The 22984-nt window shown below is 36.1% G+C and overlaps 1 protein-coding gene across 7 annotated transcripts in view, besides 3 other annotated features; it reads left to right on the top strand.

Annotated features, from left to right (window-relative positions):
• STK17B (serine/threonine kinase 17b) overlaps positions 1–22984 on the top strand; it is a 42901-nt gene that overhangs the window by 5264 nt on the left and 14653 nt on the right. For 3 of the 7 annotated variants that reach the window (XM_011512169.2, XM_011512170.2, NM_004226.4), the window contains 2 exons: positions 7793–7958; positions 14569–14781. In XM_011512169.2, the coding sequence (XP_011510471.1) occupies positions 7837–7958; positions 14569–14781 (335 nt within the window). In that variant the 5' untranslated portion in view covers positions 7793–7836. Of the gene's footprint in view, positions 1–5485; positions 5638–7792; positions 7959–14568; positions 14782–16176; positions 16253–22984 lie in introns of those variants that run through there. The other 4 variants (XM_047446334.1, XM_047446333.1, XM_011512171.3 and 1 more) reach the window with 4 other exon arrangements.
• Positions 97–316: a silencer, noted in NCBI's record as "silent region_12202". NCBI's record gives its function as "represses an Ori minimal core promoter by ATAC-STARR-seq in GM12878 lymphoblastoid cells {active_cell/tissue: GM12878}" and the evidence as "EXISTENCE:reporter gene assay evidence [ECO:0000049][PMID:35858748]".
• Positions 3990–4059: an enhancer, noted in NCBI's record as "active region_16896". NCBI's record gives its function as "activates an Ori minimal core promoter by ATAC-STARR-seq in GM12878 lymphoblastoid cells {active_cell/tissue: GM12878}" and the evidence as "EXISTENCE:reporter gene assay evidence [ECO:0000049][PMID:35858748]".
• Positions 11710–12210: an enhancer, noted in NCBI's record as "H3K27ac hESC enhancer chr2:197023734-197024234 (GRCh37/hg19 assembly coordinates)". NCBI's record gives its function as "activates a minimal SCP1, AML or CMV promoter by ChIP-STARR-seq in primed H9 embryonic stem cells {active_cell/tissue: H9 hESC(primed)}" and the evidence as "EXISTENCE:reporter gene assay evidence [ECO:0000049][PMID:30033119]".

The raw sequence follows: 22984 nt of genomic DNA, 5'->3' as shown, positions 1-22984 counted from the left end.
GGTCCGGCTGAGAGGGGCTTGGACTCCGCCGCCCCTGAGGTGGCTGATTGCTGCTGGCGCCTCTCCGCTTTGCGGCTGGAGTCCGGGTTCCCTGGGGCTCCGCGCGGGGGGCGGCCGGCGGTCCTCCCACCACCCTCCTCAGCCCGGGGCGCGTGTCTGTGTCTGTGCGTGTCCGTGTGTCCCCGTGCGCCCTCCACCCGGCCGGCCCCGGCTCTCCCCAGGTCGCGCCAGGCAGGGCCCCCTTCGCGGCGGGCCCGCGCGGGTCCCTTCCACAGCAAGGCCACGCGGTCCCCCTAGCCTCTCCCGAGTCCCAGCTGCGGCGTGGGCGCGTTCCCATCGGGACTCGTGGACGCGTCCTGCTCCCAGCTGCCTTTCGTCTAGAGAAAGTTCGTGTTCATCTTGTGGGACGTTTTCAGTTACTGCTTGGGAACAGTGTTTTAAAACCAGCGAGAGATCAAGACGGGCTACAGCTGTTTCCGTGATTTTCAGCGATCTGATTTTTGCTTTGATGCCTTGTGACCCACTTAGTGTGCACGACTCATCCTCAAACTATACCACTACTGGATGCCAACGATTTTTGACATTTACCCAGGCTCTTTGTTTTATTGTAGGGAAAAGCGTTTCATTTGAATTTCCTCCGAGGGAGAAGTAGAGACAAAGTTGAAAGAGGCTTTATAGCAGCTGGTAGCTGGCATTAGTTTCTGTCTGGACTAGAGGCACTCTGACATCAATTTGGAAATTGGAATTAAGAAAATACGTTTTTAAAATCGTAATACTTATCAGATTTCACTAATATTTAAACACATGAGGACTGTGTATCACATTCACCGATTGTTTTGTCGACGTAATGTTTACATCTGTGGTGCTAATGATAAGCAGAACCTTGCCAGGGACGTTTGACGTGGTGTGGCCACTTTACGTTTTCAAGTCTATGAGAATGTCTGCGCGGAGACAGCATAGCTCTGTAGAAATGAGTGGCAGCGTATGTAACCTGGCATTTTGAACCCAGGAGCACAATTTTATTAAAGGAAAATAAACCTACTTTCTCATTGATAACACTGTTTTTTAGTTTTATGGTGAACTGTTCGGAAGTAATTTTCAACAAGTGCTTATTTTATAAATATTAGACCGTGTACCCCTAGGATTGTGTATTTTTTAAGAAAACTGGTCCATAGAAGCGGTGCAAAAGTTTTAAACTCATCTGCCTCGGATCCTCCTCCTCTGAGCAGATGCTCAATTAAACTTTTTCTAGTATCTTAATAATTGGAGGTATTAATAGATGTTTTATTTTTGAGATACATATTGTACATTTTAGATCTTTTTTTTTTTCTAAAGTAGGGATCCAAAATTGAGGTGAAATATATTTGCTTACATGGCAAGACTTTTTAAAAGTAGAATTTCTGTAATTGAAGACCATCCTTTTTTGTGTGTGAATAGAATGGTTGCGGTTTCTCTTGGGATCATTGATTAGTGAATTACGATTTGGTTAAGATAGAATGCGTTTTTAGGAAGTTGGAGGTTTGACTAATCGCTGTGTTAGCATATGAGTAACAAATTTGAAGAAGATACAAGCATTTTTATGGCTGACGTTTCTAATCAGATAATTTTATTTTTAAGCTTGCTCTGTTTTACTTTTGTTAAGTGAACATTTTAACATGTTTTAAAGCTCTTTGATAATTATAAGGGAGAATTTCCTTATGAAAATATTTTTGCTTTAATTTTAGAGACACAAGAAGTCAAGGAATTCAGTTAATAACACTTTCACTTAATCGTTAAATTGCCTTAAAATTGCATGCATAGTATATTGTAATTCACATTTTCTGTATGTAAGATTGGCAGTTAAGAATAGTATTCTGGCCGGGCGCAGTGGCTCAAGCCTGTAATCCCAGCACTTTGGGAGGCCGAGGCGGGCGGATCATAAGGTCAGGCGTTCGAGACCAATATGGTGAAACCCCGTGTCTACTAAAAATACAAAAATTAGCCGGGCATTGTGGCGCGCGCCTGTAGTCCCAGCTACTCGGGAGGCTGAGGCAGAAGAGTTGCTTGACCCGGAAGGCCGAGGTTGCAGTGAGCCGAGATCACGCCACTGCACTCCAGCCTGGGCAACAGAGGGAGACTCCGTCTCAAAAAAAAAAAAAAAAAAAAAAAAAATAGTATTCCTAGGCTTACTACTTTTAAAGGATACTGATTGATTCTTCTTTTCATAAAGAAATCTTCTGCACTGTATGGGTATTTGTTTTGTCAGAAACATTAGCAGTCATTTATCTACTACCTTTCCACTTAGGAAAACTTCAAATGTCAGTTGCTTTAGTTTTTCATAATATTGATGACAAAATTCAGTGATTTTATGTTTAAGTACTGTAGTTTGTATTCTATGCTGGGCTGTTATCAAAGGCTATTTCTTTGAATATTTCAGTTAAGAAATGTTCTTATAAAGTTACAAGCATGTATTTTTATTTAAATATGTTGTAATGTTGCAATTTTCAGGGCATACTTTATTAAGTTTTTTATTATCCTTTTTCCAGAACATTTAACCTCAAACTTCAGTGCCATTTAAAACATATATATTAGTTTCTTTTAATATTTATATGCATTGTATTTTGGTTCATCCCTGACCCTTTGCAATTACTCCAAAAGAGGGTGTAGTGATACTGTAAGCATTGAAAAATTTTAACAGTGAGATGGTAATTTCCTCTTTAATCCTTAAAGGCAGATTCCATTTTGCATTGTAATAGTTACTGAATAAATAGTACTTAAGCGGTGCTATTAAGTAAACAATATTTTACAACAGAAACCCAATTTTCCGTCTTGTGAGTGACAAGCACCATGCATTTGTTGCCCACCCCGGAATCCCCCACTCTATTTCCGTTTTTCAACCTTTTATCCTGGTTCACAATTAACAGGTTTAACTCTTTTTCTGGAGGTGGGAAGACACAGCATTAGGCCTTAGGGTCTTGGCACAGAGTCAGGCCTAGGAGTCATTGCCTGACACTTCAGCCCTTGGATAGTATATACTAGAATGGTTGGATTAGAGTTAGTTTAGCTGACTTCCTATTGTGATTTTTAGAGGATTAAGTTTATGAATTATATTTTCTGTTCAAAATATTTTAAAAAACAAAACCTGTTGGCAGAATACATATGAGGAATATAATCTCTTCCTTGAAATTGAAAATCATCATCATTTCCATCTTGATACCAATACTTCTAATCAATGACTAATTAAAAACACATACTTCTGCCACACCAGGAGAAAGTTCTTCCTTTACTTTTGATGGACGTTAAATCTCTTTTTCAGTTTCCTAGGGAAAGCTTGCTAGCAGTAAATGCCTTAAATGCCTATGTAGAAAGGAGTTGCTTCCCTTAGAATCTTCGGGCTTACTTTGCTTCCTGTTGCCTTTCCAATGTACTTCATGATGATCTAGACTTATCAGTGATAAATCTTGATAGGACACTTACCTGAATCTCCTGATTTTTGGAGGCTCTTAAAAGAGTGATGTTCTTAACTGCAGTAGGTATTTGTATTAGTAGCTTATATTAAAAACAAGTAGCCACCTTGTCTGGAAACAGTGGTAAAAACAAAAGGTCTATTGGCATTACATTATAGTATATGACAAAATAATTTTATCTGTGTTTCCAGACTTTGTGGCTACCTGTTTAGAACTGACATTTTGTAAGTGCAATTTAAAATAGTTACTTTATTTGTCCAAATGCTGAATTAAGCAGAGACTAGCTGCATTCAGAGCTCCAGTACTGTAAATTCAAGATGGATCTCAAGTTCTCCTAACCCCTCGAAGACATGAGATATACCTACAAATTCTTTTTTCTATATCTCATAATTCTTACAATTCAGTTCATCAAACATTTTTAAAATTCCTACCGGGTGGCAGATACCATGCTGGTTGCTTAGGCACAAAAGTAAAAGGATGCTGCCCTTTAAACACTGAACAGAATTGCAATCTAACATGTTACATTTTGAGGTAAAGAAGTATGCCAAGGATCCTCTTATTTGAAGCATAAAGGAGAAGCCTTTAAATCAGCCTGTGGTTTTTAGGCAAAGCTTCCTGGGGGAGAGGCCATTCTGTGTTGAGTTTTGAAGGATGTGTAAGAAGAGTTAGCCATTTAAGGAAAGTAGAAAGGCTTTTTCAGGCAAAGAAGTATAACAAAGATGTGGTGGCAAAATATGAAATATGAGTGCGGCAGGAAATGTAGCTGGTGTATACTTGGCCTCAGAGGCCTTTATGTGTCATGCTGTAAGTACTTGAAAGCTTGTAGATACTGGGGAGCTAATGAAGGAATCAAAACAGACAATTTGATTTTCTAAATGTCTTTATTATTGTATATTCTATTTTTTAAAAACTTTCTTATTTGATAATTTTGAAATAAATATCATGATAAATACTTTTTAAAATAGAGCTAGAGGTTTATAGAGATAGTCTTGCTTTTGTTCACATCACACTTGCTTTCTGCATTCAAGTAAGTGAAGGCCCAGATCAAGCCTAACATTTCCTTCTTTTCCTTCCTTCACTGATCTACTTCCAAATTCTTTTGGTAATTATTATAATGAGAATTAATGAAAAAAATCTTTAAAAATAAGTGAGATACCATTATTTGTAGTAGTACTGTGTGATTAAAAGCTTAATTGTGTCTTACCTTCTATTACACTTTTTATAGGATCTAATCGTGTATACACATGCATATAAATTTACTTACCAGGTCCCTTAAGATTTTTTTTAAATGCTATAACCTGATAAAATGTTATGAAATGAATTTCAAATGGAGTGAGACATATAGGTAATTTAGAATCGGTAATATGAAGTGTGGTAGAAGACAAGAAAAGGCCTGGGAATTGTTGGAGTTAAAGAGAATTTGGTGGGAAATTTAGGAAGATACAAGAAGGAGCGACAGAGAGCTGACTCATAACCTGCATGTACCTTATATGAAGGGCAACCAGATGTTTGAGGAGGGCTTGGTGGACAAAGGTGACATTCATGCTCCACTATATGCAAAACTGGCCAAAGGAGAGGAAATGGAAAAATATCTTGGCTCTGACAATTGGTTCAGATGCAGTAAATAAAAGGAAAATGAACTTAAGAAATGCTTAATGGATGCCTAAAGCAGCTTGTGATGTAGGTATATTTTTAATAAATAGATGAACTTATGAGGAAATTGGTACCCATATTGATCTTTCAGAACAATGGAAAAAAATCAGTGAAACTGAGCGCTATCAGAACTAAGAAGATACATAAGTAGTTAAAACAGAAAACAAAAATACTTTTAAGAATGAAGTTTAGACTAAGTTGGGATGAGAATTTTGTACATGGAAACAGTACAGCTGTTCAACAATGGCAGGGAACTGCAGGGAGAGTATTTTTGGGTAGAATGTTAATTTTGTTTTGTGGAACAATAGCGATATGCCCTTGTGACTTGCACTGTACCTGTGTCAGTGGACATGAGTTCAGCATATTTTAATTTTTAATCCTTGCAGCACTGGAAGATCAATTCTTTTATCATCCATACTTTAGAGGCAGCAAAATCGAAGCTTTCTTCACCAGTAAAAGGGAATGCGAAGTAAATCACAACAAAATTCCATTTCACCTTCATCACACTAGAATAGCCAAACTTAAAAGTCTGAATTGGGCAAGTATTGTCAAAGTAGTGATAAACCGTCCCATCCAGTGCTAGTGGGAGTGTAAACTGGGGGTGGAAAGAAGGGGCTATGTCTAATATGTTTTATTTTTAATTTAAATGAAATATGACCAAGTAATAAGATTGGAAAGTAAATGTTTGTATATAGTGTTCCTTATCTTACATTTGAAATATTATATATTTTGTTTTCTTTTTAAATAACTGTGTTGCCGCAGATCAGGCGACTTAACAGAAGTATATTTTCTCAACGATTCTGGAGGCTAGAAATCTGGGATCAGGGTGTCTGCGGGGTTGGTTTCTTCTGAGGCCTGCCCTCTTGGCTTGTAGATGGCTGCCTTCTCCTAGTGTGTTCACATAGTCTTTCCTCTGTGTGTGTCTGTGTCCTAATTGGCCCACTTTAATGACCTCATTTTAACTTAATCACCTTTTTAAAGGCCCTGTCTCCAAAGACAGTCACATTATGAGATACAGGGGTTAGGGTTTTTCAACTTAGGAATTTGGGGGAGGACACAATTCAGCCCATAACAATAGCAAAGTTAAATAATTTAATTAAGGTCTCATAGCTGGTATGATGGATGAATGGAATTCAGACCCAGGTGTCTTTCAGTCTAAAGGTTATTCTCAGAATGCTACACTACAACCCTTTGACTCCTAGAGATGTACCCCAAAACTAGTTAGAGCTGTTTCCCCAAAGACTAAGAGATGTAGAGAAAACAATTTTACTATCTAGTTATGTGAAAGCTATAATTTTAATTTAATTTTTTGAGACAAGGTCTCCATCTATCGCCCAGGCTGAACTGCAGTGACGCGTTCATAATTTGAGAATAACACCAAGAAGAGAAAATGTAGAAACTGAAAACGCTGAACTCTAATGACACTGCTTTTTGGCTAAGTAGACTATAGTTGGCATTTGAATTTAAGAAGATAAAGAACAGTACATATAAGTAGAAAATAGGAAAAAAAGATGTCAGAGGAGGAACAAATGCTTAGCGGGTTACTACAGGAGGGTGCTAAAAGAATAATAATTGATATTTTATTAAGTAGGCATAGCAATAAGTCATAAGTGTCTTGAAATATAGTATCTGTTATTGTTTTATGAATGCAATTAATATAATAGTTTTGATAACACTGAATGCATATAAACATCACAAATTTCCAGATACATATATGAGCTTCAGATACAGAACTTCGAAATAAAGCTTTATGTATAGGTTAGTCACTCTTCCAACAAAATTATTGAGCACTTCATACATAGCAGGCTCTGTGCTAGGTCCTGTCAAAGGAGGGACTCTTAAGACCTTTGAGAGTTTCTGAGTTTAGTACTGAAACATAGCCAATCCGTGGAAGAAGTTCTATTTCTTGTAGTCCTTCACGTCAGTAATATAACTCACAATATGTGCATTTACCACCAAATTTCTTTAGCCATGTGAAAATAAGTTTAAAATGAATAATTATTATCTTGTCGTATTAAATTACCTATTATGTGAAACCTATAACTTTATTTATTTATTTATTTATTTATTTATTTATTTATTGAGATAAGATCTCGCTTTATTGCCCAAACTGAACTGCAGTAGCACATTCATAGCTCACTGCAACCTCAAACTTCTGGGCTCAAGTGATGCTCCTGCCTCAGCCTCCCAAGCAGCTGGGACTACAGGTGCGAGCCACTACACCCAGTTAATTTTTAAATTTTTTCATAGAGATGGGATCTCGCTATGTTGCCAGGACTGGTTTTGAACTTCTGGCCTCAAGTGATCCTCCTGCCTCAGCCTCCCAAAGTGCTGGGATTATAGGCGTATACCACCATGTCCAGCTGAAACCTCTATAACTTTAAAGAATGGAGTTTTATGATGAAACTAAGTGATTGTTTGCATTATAATTTTATCATAACTATTTTTTTTAAATTGAGAGGATTTTTACCGTAGTTTTATTCTGAAATGAAGTCAGTAACTTCGTTCAAGTGCCATAGTGTTATTATGGTTTATGTGTATGCTTTTTGTTTTTTCCTCCTTGTGGATAGAATGTGCTCTTTAAATCTTTTTTTTTTTTAGTTGTATTTTATAGCTATATTTGGAGCTGTGTAATGTAATGCACATCCTGCCTGAGATAACATCTTTTCTCTGTATTCTCTTTTTTTGCATAGGTAAAAATAAGTGACTAAAGAAGCAGACCTGGGAATCACCTAACATGTCGAGGAGGAGATTTGATTGCCGAAGTATTTCAGGCCTACTAACTACAACTCCTCAAATTCCAATAAAAATGGAAAACTTTAATAATTTCTATATACTTACATCTAAAGAGCTAGGGAGGTAAGAAAACCATATGACGTGTATGCCATCTAAATTCAAATTTTGGATTTGTGTTTTTATAATTCTATAAAACTCACTTGGGATCATTATTTAACAATGATTAGGAAGGAAAGTTGTGATCTCTGTTGCTGTTACCTAGGGTCCAGTCTTAACTGACTTGAAAATCAAATCTGTGGAGGGTTTAGTGAACTTAAATCATACATCCTACCTAGCCTCAGAGCCTCTGATAGGAGGTCTCTGTCGTTACATGAGGCTGTGCATGGGAAGAGGCAGCTCAGCATAGTGGACTGCCGAGTTCAAGTTTGGACTCCACCAGTTACTAGGTGTGTGACTTCAACTAAATAACTGTACCTCTTTTTTTAATTTTTGTTTGTGGCGGGGTCTCACTCTGTTGCTCAAGCTGGAGTGCAGTGACATGATCTTGGCTCACTGCAACCTCCTGTCTCCTGGGCTCAAGGGATCTGCCACCTCAGCCTCCTAAGTAGCTGGGACTACAGGCACACACCACCACACTGGGCTGGTTTTTTGTAGAGACAGGGTTTCTCCATGTTGCCCAGGCTGGTCTCCAACTCCTGGGTTCAAGCAATCCTCTGGCCGTGGCCTCCCAAAGTGCTGAGATAATTGGTGTGAGCCCCTGCGCCCTGCCTACTGTACCTCTTAGTGCTGTCGTTTCCTCATCTGAAAAGTAGGGGTGAAGATAATTGTGTCTGTCTTATATGGTTGTTATGAGGATTAAGTTAGTTAATATTTGTAAAGTGCCTAGTACAGTGCTCTGTAAGTTTTTGTTAAATGAAATATTTTTTTAAATTCCTAGGGTATTGTGCTTGGCTTAAAAAAAAAAAAAAAAGAAGAAGAAGAAGAAATAGGGAGATTCTCCCCCTCTCCTAAGTTGAACAAAAAGAATGAATTCATATTTCATAGTCTGATTCTATGTCACAACAAATGAGTGGTTTATAAGTAAAAAGCCTTTACAAATTGTTTTCTCTTAACCAGTGTATAAACTCTGTACGGCCAAGGAGTGACATGATATTATGAAACCATTCTGTACTACCATTTTAATATATGAAAAGTTATAAAAGATATACCAAGTTATTTAAGTTATATATTCAGCATCTTTTGAGCTTTAAATTAAAGGTGCTTAATGAAGGGTTGGAAGATGGTAGTCATCATGTATTTTCAGTTTGATTTTAGTTCTGGAGGTAAATGTTTTGTTGTATGTTAAATGGTTTACTAAGTCCATATTTGTGTTGATAAATGTGCAGCAAAACAATGTGATTGATTTTTGTCTTTGAAAATCTCGATGTGAGAAGAAAAGTTGACTGAATCATGAAAAGTAATTTCATTCTTGGTGGCCTTTTACCTTAAGGGCAGAGGCAAGTCCTGGCTTTTTCACGTTGCAGATGTTGGATGCAGCCTTTCTTTTGCAAAATAAGAATTATAATATCTGGCCAGGTGTGGTGACTCACGCCTGTAATCCCAGCATTTTGGGAGGCCGAGGAGGGTGGGTCACGAGGTCAGGAGTTCGAGACCACCCTTGCCAACATAGTGAAACCCTGTGTCTACTAAAAATACAAAATTAGCCAGGCATGGTGGCGTGTGCCTGTAGTCCCAGCTACTCAGGAGGCTGAGGCAGAAGAATCACTTGAACCCGGCAGGTGGAGGTTGCAGTGAGCCGATATCATGCCACTGCACTCCAGCTTGGGCAACACAGTGAGACTTTGTCTCAAAAAAAAAAAAAAAAAAAAAAAAAGAATTATAATATCTACCTCACTGACCAAGAATTAAATACAAAAGCACATTTCATAATTCCTGGCATACTAATTTAATGTGCAAAATATTTGGGTGTTTTAATGGTGTATTAAAAGATAGAGTTTTTAGAACCTTTTAAAATGTTTTTAAGAAATTGTTCTAAATCTTAATTACTTCATTTTGCATTATAATAGGAAGAAAGGTTTTTTTTTTCTTTTTTTCTTTTTCTTTTTTTTAAGTTTCCTGTATCTCACATTGAACCATAGAATCTCTGCATTGGAAAGACTTCAGTGGTCCGTGGTCTTACTAATACAATGTTTGTATGCAGCGCAGCAATCTTTCCTATAATTTCCCGAACAAACTGTTATCCAGCCTCAGTTTGAATGCTTCAGCGATGGGGAAATGAATATTATGCAAGTCTTGAACAGTACACACAATAAAAGTCACTTTCTTTTCTATTTTTCTGAGTTACTATTTGATGAGTAAATTTACTTACATTTTTTAAATTAACTTTTCAAAATTGGGGACATTATAGGAGCTAAAAAATCTATAAAGTATTTTTGCTTTGAGGGCTTTGGATAATTTAAACTTTGAGGATGATATTAGTAATTCTAAATTGCTTTATAAATGAGGTGCCACCATAAATAAAGTTGAATTAGGCATACTTTTTAGAATTTTAGATCAAAAACTCATGATAGAATTTGATTAAAGCAAATTTAGATTGATTGCTAAATTCCCATTTTAAAATATCTTTATGAAAGAGACCAAGTAACATCTTTCTTTTGAATTGATATGGGCTAATGAGTCACATGGTAAATATTGATATGTTTAATTATTAGATCTTGATAAATTAGAAATCATGGCTTTTCATCTGCCAAGAATGTACTGAAAGTTCTTTCAATATTGTTACCAATTTTAATATCCTATGCTTTTGTGAAATGGAAATTAGAATCATAATCATTTCTTCTGAGGTTTGCACATTTTGAAAGTTATCTTTCTGAATCAACTTTTTTATTTCAGAGTGTTAGTGTTTAATAATTCATTTTCCTTTAGCAAATTAAAGGAAATTATGTAAAAGTTAACAGTTCATTTTTTACTATTCTCAAAAAACTTGAATTGTTCCTGTTTTTTAACATGTTGGGTAAGTTTTTTCTACCCCTCCCCCAACTGAGGCAAAGGTTTCATAGGACTTCTTGTGGTTAGAAGGGTGAGGCAGATTCAGAAATAAACGTCAGCTTCCTTTGTGGCTTACCCTCCCGCCTCCTTTCACATTTTATTGTGTATTCTAGAATGCAGAAGGGGAATGCAGAAGGGTAACTACTAGACCTTTTCGCTGCTGGGAAATCTAGTTAGCCTTGCCTTTTTAGGGTATAACTTAAGGATTATTTTTAAATGCTTTAACTTTTCTTAAATGTTTCAATTACATTTGGAATAGAAACATATTTTAAAGATCATTTTTTATACTTTTAAACTATAGCATTTTAGAATGGAAAACAAATATTTGGTTTTTTTCCTAAGTCATCTGATAATTATGGTAAAAATGTTTACCTTCATAGTATATAAATGAATACACACGCACACATATATATAATTTTATTGGAATCTCAATCTTTTAAGAAATACAAACACTTTAAGTACAGGATACAGAATAGCACAGTATATGGTATTATAGTGGGTACATATTTCTGGCATTCATTCAACAGATATTTCAGTTCCTATTATGTGTTAACAAACTGTAGATTTTATAATTACCATAATAATTAGGACAGATATGGTCCCTGCCCTCATGGAGCTTTTACTTAGTGGTGAACGTTGACAAATAAATAAATCATTATCCACATCATTTGGTCACCTTTGCCCTGGATTAATGAGTACTATACTTGTTTAAGAAAGCCTCTTGGGCTGGTGCAGTGGCTCATGCCTGTAAAATTTCAACACTTTGGGAGGCTGAGGCAGGAGAATCGTTTGAGCCCAGGAGTTTGAAACCAGCCTGGGCAACATAGGGAGACACTGTCTGTACAAATTATGTAAAAAATTAGCCAGGAGTGGTGGTGCGTGCCTGTGGTCCCAGCTACACAGGAGGCTGAAGTAAGAGAATCTTCTGAGCCTGGGAGGTTGAGGCTGCGGTGAGCTGAGATCCTGCCACTGCACTCCATCCTGGGTGATAGAGTCGAGACCCTGTCTCAAAAAAAAAAAAAAAACAACCTCTTGGTAATACCTGGAACAATTAGATAAGAAGTGTTATTTACAGATAAAATAAATAATAAAATTATTGCAGAACTGAATTGTCACAAGCACTACTATAAACTGTTTTTTCAGATGCACAGTTTTCTTGGCTAACTAGTTTCTGTTTCCTAAATTTTACAAGTGAATTTCTTTATAAAGCCCAAAATTTCCTTCCTGTTTTAGTCAAGTTTTTGCTTCGAAATCTAAGTAAGAATTGATAGAAGCAAGTGAGTTACACTTCTTTAACAAAACTGTTTTTTTGTTTTTTTTTTTTTTGAGACACAGTCTTGCTCTGTCCCCCAGGCTGGAGTGCAGTGACGTGGTCTCAGCTCACTGCAACCTCCGTCTGCCGAGTTCAAGTGATTCTCCTGCCTCAGCTTCCTGAGTAGCTGGGATTACAGGCATGTGCCACCAAGCCCGGCTAATTTTTTGTATTTTTAGTAGAGACGGGATTTCATAGTGTTAGTCAAGATGGTCTTGATCTCCTGACCTCTGGATCTGCCCGCCTTGGCCTCCCCAAGTGCTGGTATTACAGGCATGAGCCACCACGTCTGGCCCAACAAAACTATTTTAAAGGGAGGAATTGTTTTATAGTGATTAGAACAGAAAGTTAGGAATTCACATTTCACAGTTTTATTCTTGAGGCTCCGATTCCATTTATGAGCTTTCATGAGGTATTTAATCTTATTCTGACTCAATTTATCCAGTATAAAATTTATGAAACACCAGTGGATTGAATATAAAGGGACTAATTTTTGTGTGTGTGTGCTCATCGAAACCCATCAATTTGTATTCCTTCTGCATACAATGAGAAAATATTTTATAGTTAAGCATTCTCAAATCTTAAAACTGCTTTCAAAGAATCAGGTTTTTATATGCAAATTTATTTAGTTGATGTATTAATATATTTTGATAAATGTAGAAGAGTCAAATTATAGTTTGATTTCCAGTACTTTCCACTGACATCAATTTTGAGGAAATTTGGGTAATAAAAAGTAGGACTCTTTGTCATCTTGGCCTTTGCGAATAGCTAGTAAAATACAGTCAAGCAGTGTAGTCCCCCAGTTTCCACCCCGTACCCCCTAAACACCAAGTTTTGTTTTCCATGCTAAGAGTCTGATAGACTGTGTTAGAAATATATTGAAGGGAATTGAGGCAAGAGGAGTTATGGAACAAACATTGCTTCCTAAAGATCTTTTATTTATACCTGATTTGTTAGTATCAGAATCCAGAGAGTAATTCAAAATTTAAGGTAGAGGTTCTTAATTTTGGATCCCCTATACTCAGCCTTATAAGGTTTATGGATGGGCTTTAAGATCTGAAAACCCTCTGGAATTATATGTAAAACTTCCTATTTAAGGGCTTGTGTATATTTTTCTGGGTAGGCAGTCAATAGAATAGCTTTTATTAATTTCCCAAAATAATCCTTGACTCAGAATAGCTTTAGGCTTTTGTGAAAATAAATTTTTGGCCGCTGTAGACTTACAGTAACACGTATGCCAATAGAAATGAATTTTCGGTGTCTTTAAATTTTGGCAGAGGTACTAAGCACTGCCATTGGAGAGAGCTAAAAGCATACTTATTTCTAAAATGATAAACATGACCTTAATGGGTGTGTTTGTACATAGCTGTGATAACCATTATTTTCTTAGTTTATCATGAAGTATCTTTGAATATTTTCTGTAGGACACATATACCTTAGTTATCTGTTACAGGCTTCAAAGACTACTGAGCATTACTAAGAGACATATTGCTAAAACAATTGACAATTGTGATAGTTTCAAAGGTGGTAAAAATTGTGTTGAAAGGAAAAATTACTAATAAAATTAAATAAGTCAAATACCCATTTTTGCATTCACTTTAATTTCTTATATTTAAAGGTAAGCTATTCTAATTAGAGAGTTAACATGATACCCTATGAAGGGTACAGTTTTTGGAAATAGACCTGAGTTTAAATCTTTACCTTGACTAAATTACATATCTTCTCTGAGGTGTGAAGAACAGGAGAGCATTTATTATATAGGATTGTTGTGATACTTAAACACAATAATTTATATCAAGAGCATGGCATGGAGTTGGTGTGCAAATGAGATTATTTCCCTGCAATGATAATGTATCTTTTTTTTATTTTTTTTTTGAGACAGTCTCACTCTGTCACCCAGGCTGGAGTACAGTGGCATGATCTTGGCTCACTGCAACTTCTGCCTCCCAGATTCAATAGATTCTCCTGTGTAGCTGGGATTACAGGCATGCGCCACAACGCCTGGCTGATTTTTATATTTTTAGTAGAGACAGGGTTTTGCCATGTTGGCCAGGCTGGTCTTGAGCTCCTGACCTCAAGTGATCTGCCTGCCTCGGCCTCCCAAGATAATGTATCATTTTAGTAGTGAAGAATAAATATAATTCTGTCTTATCCTGTTGTTATAGTTTGCCATTTACATTTGTACGTGATAGCACTATAAATTTTATAAAAGTACGTATGATATTTGAATCAATTTAGAGAACAAAGATAAATTCCTAATGACACAGATATTTCAAAGAATTGACTTTAAGTTGGAGGTATAACAGAATCTGTAATATACTAACGTTGTTCTCTGCAGAAAAATTAAAATTGATTGTTCTCATCTTCCCCCAGAGGAAAATTTGCTGTGGTTAGACAATGTATATCAAAATCTACTGGCCAAGAATATGCTGCAAAATTTCTAAAAAAGAGAAGAAGAGGACAGGATTGTCGAGCAGAAATTTTACACGAGATTGCTGTGCTTGAATTGGCAAAGTCTTGTCCCCGTGTTATTAATCTTCATGAGGTCTATGAAAATACAAGTGAAATCATTTTGATATTGGAATAGTAAGTATATACTAAATAGTACCTATTTTAGTTGGTATGAAAAGATGATTAAAATGTCAAGAATAAGAATGATAAAGGTGTGACAAGAACTTGTAAAGATTCCTGTTAATAAAATGTAAAAGGGACCTAATTTATATTCAGATATTTTCATAAGACTAAATGTATAGCCTCGGGCACATACACAAAAACTAACAGCACAGAATAAGCAAATGACAAATACAACATTTGAGGAATGTGGAGAAATGAATATACATTATTTTCTTAATGGCTAATTGATTGAATTTTTCTGGAACACAATCTGATGGGCAGATAGAATTGAAGTAATTTGTATATTTTCTTCATCTATTTGAAAAATACCTTCAAGAAAATAAGAATAGAAAGGAGAATTGAAGTAATTTGTATATTTTCTTCATCTATTTGAAAAATACCTTCAAGAAAATAAGGAGAATAGAAAGGTAAACTGCATAAAACTTTGCTTAATACATTGTTTGTTAAAGAAATACATTTGGTATATGTAATGTGTAAAGCACTATGTTAGTTGTAGCAATAATAAATATATCTCTTGCCACAAGTCTGTGAAAAAGTGAAAACACCCCCAGTATTCTACAGTTCACCAGGTGGTAGGGGTAGAGGATTGTTAAGGTAACCGGTTTGTTACCTAGTATATTGACATGTGACTCTTACAGAGTGCCTTTGTTGCATGATTGTCTGTCACGTTTATTCTAAGGATGTAAAATGTGTTTGAACATCTGCAACAACTGGAAGAGATCAGCTAGATTTATGTTTAGTATACCTTGGGTGCCAATAGTTTTTAATGAAGTAAATATATTTTATGATAAACCAAGAAGAGATAAGTGTTTATTTTAGTAAAAAATGTATTGCTAACTATAGTAATTCTTTTTAGTAACTAACTTGCATCATTGCCTTTTTAAATTTAAAGGTATATTAACCTTATTTTTGTATTTAGTTATTTTAAAATTAATGTTTTTGTTCCACGAAATAGATTGGCTGGAATCAACTTGTGAATGAAAATGAAGATTTTGCAAAATGTTAAACTGACAAGTAGTTCATTTAAGAATGAATACTATGTACATTTCCCAGAACCGTCTTAAGGCGTGTTATATAGCACTTTCAAAATAAATTAGAATTGCAGAAAAGGCCAAGATACTACCAATATGATTTCAGTTTTCATATATTTTGTAATTATTTTTGTCAAAGATTCTTCAGCTGACCTTTAAAAAGTTACCTACTTGCATAACATCTGCATGTTTGAAGTGTGTAAAAAGTAGCTAACATTTGTCAAAACAGTAGTGGAATACTAGGTTTGGAGGATGAATATACATAAGAACATTGACTATTTTCATAAAATCCTCTTTTGGGGGTTCATCCAAACAGCAACGACAAAATACATCGGAAAGATTTGAGACATTTTATGGATGGACCTTGTTCATACTCCGGAAAATTGACTCAGGTACCTTACCCAGTAAACTGGCAGAACTTACTGATCTCTATACCTCTGGCTGAAATGTAGCAAGCACTCAGAAAATGTTTAAGTAGATTAATGTATTACATTTCTTACCAGAGTGACTAAGACCCACTAAAATTTATTGCTAGAACTTCGGCTTAATTACTATGCCTTCCGCTTTTGGGGTGGCATTGTCACATTTAGTAGTCTCAGTTGAAGGTAAAAATTTAATCAGGTTTAGTTGTTTTAGTAGTGTGGCATAATTTTTATATGGTGAAATTAAAACGGTGGAATCTTTAATAACTATCACCCAGTCAATTCTGTCCTCAAATCATCCTACACACTTTTTCTTCCCCAACTCTTATTTTACAAAATTCCAAATCTATAGAAAAGTTGAAAAACTAGTACAATTAACATCCTTATACTCTTCACTTTTACTCACCAGTTGTTGGCATTTTGCCACATTTACTGAACCATTTGAAAGTTGTAGGTATTATGATATTCCTTTTTGTGCTGAAGTATTTGGTGTGGGTGATGATGTGTATTTATTGTATCACATCAGGTGGCAATAAAGTCAGGTTTTATTACTGGTTTTGCTAAATTTGAACATGCTTAAGGTGTAGTCTTCTAGCTCTCCTCATTGTAAAGGAACATTTTCCCTTTTTAATTAATCTGTGTAGTGATATTTACAGACCATGTGATTATTATCTTTTGTTGTTGTTGTTGTTGTTGTTGTTGTTGTTGTTGGAGTCTTGCTCTGTCACCAGGCTCGAGTGCAGTGGCGCGATCTCAGCTTACTGCAACCTCTGCCTCCTGGGTTCAAGCGATTGCCCTGCCTCAGCCTCCTGAGTAGCTGGGATTACAGGCACGTGCCACCATGCCCAGCAATTTTTTGTATGTTACTAGAGATGGGGTTTCACCATGTTGGCCAATATGTCTTGATCTCCTGACCTCGTGATCCACCCACCTCGGCCTCCCAAAGTGCTGGGATTACAGGTGTGAGCCACCGCTCCTGGCCAATATTATCTTCTTAACTTTTCGTCTAGTGATTTCCCTTTCCCACTTTTTAATATTTCTGTGGATTTCATGTTTTTTAAATTAATCTAACACATGGCATTAATGGAAAATAACCCATTATGTTTTAATTAATGAGTTCTAATCAGTTTCTGCCACTGTCTTTTTTTCATGCTCAAATTGTCCCAAGCTTATCAGTGGTTCCCTTTCAAGCTACTTCCTATGTCCTTTTGATATAATGTCATTGGTGTTTGAAGACTCCCTTGCTTTATGCACACCAAAATTTCCAGGGTCATCTTGTTATCTTGCCTGCCCCAGACCTGTAATCAGCCATCTCTCTGAGAAGTTCTGGTTCTTTTAAGTGGGGAATAGCATTTAGAAACCAAATATGGGTGTTGGACATGCTCACTTTTAACGGAGCATCGTTATTTTTAGGACTTTTCTAAGGATAGTGTTAGGAAATCATATTTTTTCAAAATCACGAATTTAGTCTCATAGCTCCAATTCAAGTCCACCACTACAAGGTTCTTCATCACTTCTCACATTCTATATATGCATCTCCCCTCTCTCACAGTGAAAACCCAGGTTCTCAGCAATACTTGCTTATTCACTTTATCCAACAATACGTACAAAATAGTTTCAGCATAACAATACTAATACTGCTACCAACAGCAAACTACTTAGTACAACTGTTTTTTTTTTTTGGACATTGTTTTTGCACTTAGACTATAGTCCATTAAGGGTATCTAGTTAGAGTTATATATATAGTTAGATACATTTGTTTCTGTTGATATTCAGTGTTAGGATGTGATTTTTTATATTCTTATTCTGAAATTCTAAAAAAGGTTTGCATGATTCAAAACTTAAAAAAATGTGGCCAGGCATAGTAGCTCATGCCTGTAATCCTAGCAATTTGGGAGGCCGAGGCCGGAGGATCCCTTGAATCCAGGAGTTCGAGACCAGCCTGGGCAACAAACTGAGACCCTCATCTCCATATATTAAAAAAATAAAAAATAAATAATTGTTTTTTTAAACCACACAAAAAATGTATAAACATGTATCCCCTGTACTGCAAAATCTTGCTCTCATTCCTATTCCTTCTGCTCTCTTCCAACCATACCTATGTAGCTAACCACATTTATTCATTCTGGCTCATTCTTTATATGTTTCTTCTTGCATATATAAGCAAACTTGTATATATTTAATATTCTTACTTACAGAAAATGTAGTATATATACTCCTTTGCACCTTGTATTTTTGTTTGTTTACTTAAGAATATATTCCAGAAATCATTCTACATTAGTTCATAGGCATCTTTTTGACTATTATTATGGCCAGTTTCTTAAATGGCTGCATAGTACTCTGTTGTATGGTTGGATCTTGCTTTAGTCGACCTTCTGTAAATGGGAATTATTATGGAGATGTAGCTTTAGAGTAAATTCCTAGAAGAATGATTGCTGGTCAAAGAGTAAATGCATATGTAGTTTTATTAGATGTTGTCAAATTTCCTTCCATATGAGCAGCACACAATCACTTTTAAAAGGCACTTTTTTGGCCGGGGGTGGTGGCTCACGCCTGTAATCCCAGCACTTTGGGAGGCCAGGGCAGGAGGATCATGAGGTCAGGAGATGGAGACTATTCTGGCTAACAGGGTGAAACCCTGTCTCTACTAAAAAATACAAAAAATTAGCCGGGCGTGTTGGCGCATGCCTGTAGTCCCAGCTACTCAGGAGGCTGAGGCAGGAGAATTGCTTGAACCTGGGAGGCAGAGGTTGCAGTGAGCTGAGATCGCACCACTACGCGCCAGGCTGGGCAATAGAGCGAGACTTCGTCTCAAAAAAAAAAAAAAAAAGGCACTTTTTTGATTTGTACATTTGCTAATTATATGAATCAATCTAGAACTTTCTTCTGGAACAACTATAGCCTCTTTTTGCTTTTGTGTTTTGTTTTGCCTCTACCTAACCTATTTTTTGAATCAGTTTACTTTTGTGAATTAATCTCAAATTCTTGCAACCTGCTTGTCACTTTTAACAATTATTAAAATCTTTCCCTTCTTATTTTAATACATAGTTCATAGGAAAGTATTTCATTGCCAGTTATGAAGTCTACATGATTGTTTTAGCCTTTTATTTCTTCAGAAAGTAATATAAATCTTACTTTTCTGGAAGGTAGTATTAGATCTATTTATACATATGGAGGAAAATTTGAGGATAATTGAGTCATTCCATCACCACTATCCATGAGACAAAGACTTTTCCATACCAAGTGTCTTTAAAGCATATTTGTAGAATTAAATAAAATATAGCTATACATATTAAAAATCTTTTTAAAAAACTTCTGGAAGGAAGGTATTATCTAATTGGACATACTAAGTTTTCAGTGCTGCATTTTGAGCAAATTAAAGTTGGTCATAAAAAATACTTACCTTTGGCTGGACACGGTGGCTCACACCTGTAATCCCAGCACTTTGGGAGGCCAAGGTGGGCGGATCTCGAGGTCAGGAGATCGAGACCATCCTGGCTAACACAGTGAAACCCCATCTCTACTAAAAATACAGAAAATTAGCCAGGTGCCTGTAGTCCCAGCTACTCGGGAGGCTGAGGCAGGAGAGTGGTGTGAACCCAGGAGGCGGAGCTTGCAGTGAGCCGAGATCACACCACTGCACCCCAGTCTGGGCGACAGAGCGAGAGTCGTCTCAAAAAAAAAAAACTTACCTTTTGGAGAACACAGAACAAAAACTTTGTCCTAGAAATAGTGAAAATCAAAAGGGGAACTTACATTCATCAGAGACAACTCTGAGATTATGTGAGAATGCTATTTTCTTTTTGTCAAGAAATTTTGTCTACTAAACATCTCTAAGTAAATATTAAGTACCCAACAGAAAAGGATGGAGACTGTAACAAAACATGCAAAACAGAAAGCCTTACCTTCTGGAATGATCTCAATCACCAGAGAAATAACATTTTAATATGATCTTAACAATTTCAACCATAACGTATGTTGAACATTTACACTCTGGCAGGCACTGTGATAGGCACGTTATCTGTATTCTCATTTGATTTTTAAAACAATCCTCCAAAAAGGGAGATTGGTATTCACATCATATGTCTAGTTAATATTCTAATGTCTTTCCATTCTAAAATCCCATGGACTTTGTTTCTCCCATTAGCATAGGAATATAATTTTAAAGAGACTCTTAATATTCAAATTTTAAAACAAGTTCGTTTTGATCACTGGAAATAAATGCTTATTTTAAAAATCTTTACCATGGCTTTTCAAAGCTATATGACTAGATTTGCATTTTATGGGTAATTGAGATATTACTTTGTTTTACTGAAAATCTTGGCTCTCTATAACTCACAGAAATCTATCATTTTTGATAGGAAAATATTCTGATTTTAATCTTTCATGTATTAACTTTATGTTATAGGAATATTTCTAAAAGATCTTCTCTACTTGCTGTTCCCTATAAAAGACAGATGTAGAGCTAGATAATATATAGCACATAGGTTTTCATGACTGTGTAACCTGTGCTAAAGTACTCTTATCACGTATTCTCACACATAGCACATGTATATATGCATTAGCAAGTGAACATAGATGCTGAATTTCTAAATTTCTTTTGTTGATATCCCTGCAAGGGACAAACTCTTTTTAGAGAGAAAGAGCAGAAGTCACCTGATTTATCTCCCAGGTCAATGATAATGATATAGGCGGCTTTTCTGACTGTAGATATTTTTCTTTTTCTTTTTTGTCTTTTTTTTTTTTTTTTTTTTTTTTAGTCACTGCTCTGGGTGACTGCTCAGGGTGGTTTCCTTAACAGAAGTCTTGTTTGCTACTCACTGCTTCTGTTTCTTTTTCCAATTTCTGCCAACTTCTGCAATTTGCTGCTTGTGTTATCAGTTCTTTCCCTCCTCTTAAGTCTTCCTAATTTTCGTATTTTCTGTAGCTCCACCTATGTTCCTCTGTTGTGTGAGAAATGGCAGTCCTACGAAATACATTGGTCAGCTTGTCAAACTAAAAGGAAGAGACAGTGTGATTGGCTGACAATCATAGTATTTTATTTGATCTTATTATTAAAACAAGCAAAAAACTCTGAGGATACTTTCCCTGATTATAAAAGTAACACCCATTCATTGTGTTAAATTTAGGAGATACAGAAAAGGGAAATCACATGTAAATGATGGTTACTTTATGATATGTTCCTGTATTTAAAAATTATTCTTATTTTTTGGTCTGTGCGTATGTACTTTTAGAGACAACATTTTGATCTACTGGGCATATTCTATTGTAACTCTCCTTTTTCACTTAAGAATATAGTGTGTGCATCTTTATATGTACCATATAGTGTTTCTAAAAATAGATTTTAATTTAGCAAAGACTTTAAAAATTTCCTTCAAAATCAGAGTTCAACAAAAAGTCCCAAAATTTGGAAAGGCGAGATGTTGGCTAGATTTGCAATTAATGTTTGTTGGCTCATTATAATAGCTGATATTGGCTGGGCCCAGTGGCTCATGCCTGTAATCACAGCACTTTGGGAGGCCGAGGCGGGCGGATCACGAGGTCAGGAGATGGAGACCATCCTGGCTAACACGGTGAAACCCAGTCTCCACTAAAAAATACAAAAAATTAGCCGGGTGTGGTGCCACGCGCCTGTAGTCCTAGCAACTCGGGAGACTGAGGCAGGAGAATTGCTTGAACCCAGGACGGGGAGGTTGCGGTGAGTAGAGATTGCACTACTGCACTCCAGCCTGGGCGACAGAGCAAGACTCAGTCTCAGGAAAAAAAAAAAAAAATAGCTGTTATCTATTGAATATTTACCGTGTGTCAGACACTGTGATAAGTATTTATTGAAACGATCTGCTTTGATTCTTCTAGGATGTTTGTGCTCAATACTTTATGTGGATTATCCAATTTAATTCTTAGACCATGAAGTAGGAGCTATTCTATTATTCACATTACAGTAGAAGAAACAGAGGCACATTTTGTCCCAGTTCACCTAGCCTAGTTAGTGACAGAGCTAGAGTGAAACCCAGGCAGTCTTGATTTCAGTAAGCACTCCTATATGCACCATGCTATCCTGTCTCTTCCTAGGCACTGGGAATTGCTTTCCATACTTTCACTTTACTTTCTTGTATTTTGTTTTTAATTTTAGAATTGGTGGAGTGTTCTGGTTATTGAAGTAACTTTAACGAATTTGTAATATAAAATGTTGGTAAATAATCATAAAGTATTCAAGAATAAATGTCTTACCTAAACAATTTATGTTGCTGTACAAATGAAGAATACACATCTATTTTTTATATATTTAGGGGGTGTAAATATGTAAATTCATATTTTATACTGTTTTCTAATAATTTCAAGTTATTTGGTCTGATTTTTATAAGATAGGACTAGATTATCAGTATTTATATCTTGTAAAGTACCTAACAAAAAATATATTCTAAGAGAATCTAAAGTGTTCTTTCTTCATTTTCTTATTTGCTTATGATTGCATTAGTACTATTACCTAATATAATATTATTTGTAATATTATTTTGACTGTCTTTGCAGGAATATATTTAGACCACTTTCTGTTTTGAGACGATTTGTATCATTGAAACTAAACAGTGTAGCCGGAAAGGGAAGGAGTGATGGTGTCACTGCCAGTCTGTGCCTGGATTCCCACTCTGCCCTCAGGAGACCTTGAGAAGGGGTGTGAGAAATGAATACTGACATGCAGAC

The sequence above is a fragment of the Homo sapiens genome, chromosome 2, assembly GCF_000001405.40.
Source record: "Homo sapiens chromosome 2, GRCh38.p14 Primary Assembly".
NCBI classification, from domain to species: Eukaryota; Metazoa; Chordata; class Mammalia; order Primates; family Hominidae; genus Homo; species Homo sapiens.
Note: the sequence above shows the minus strand (reverse complement) of the source record. Positions and strands in the feature narration are given on the sequence as shown.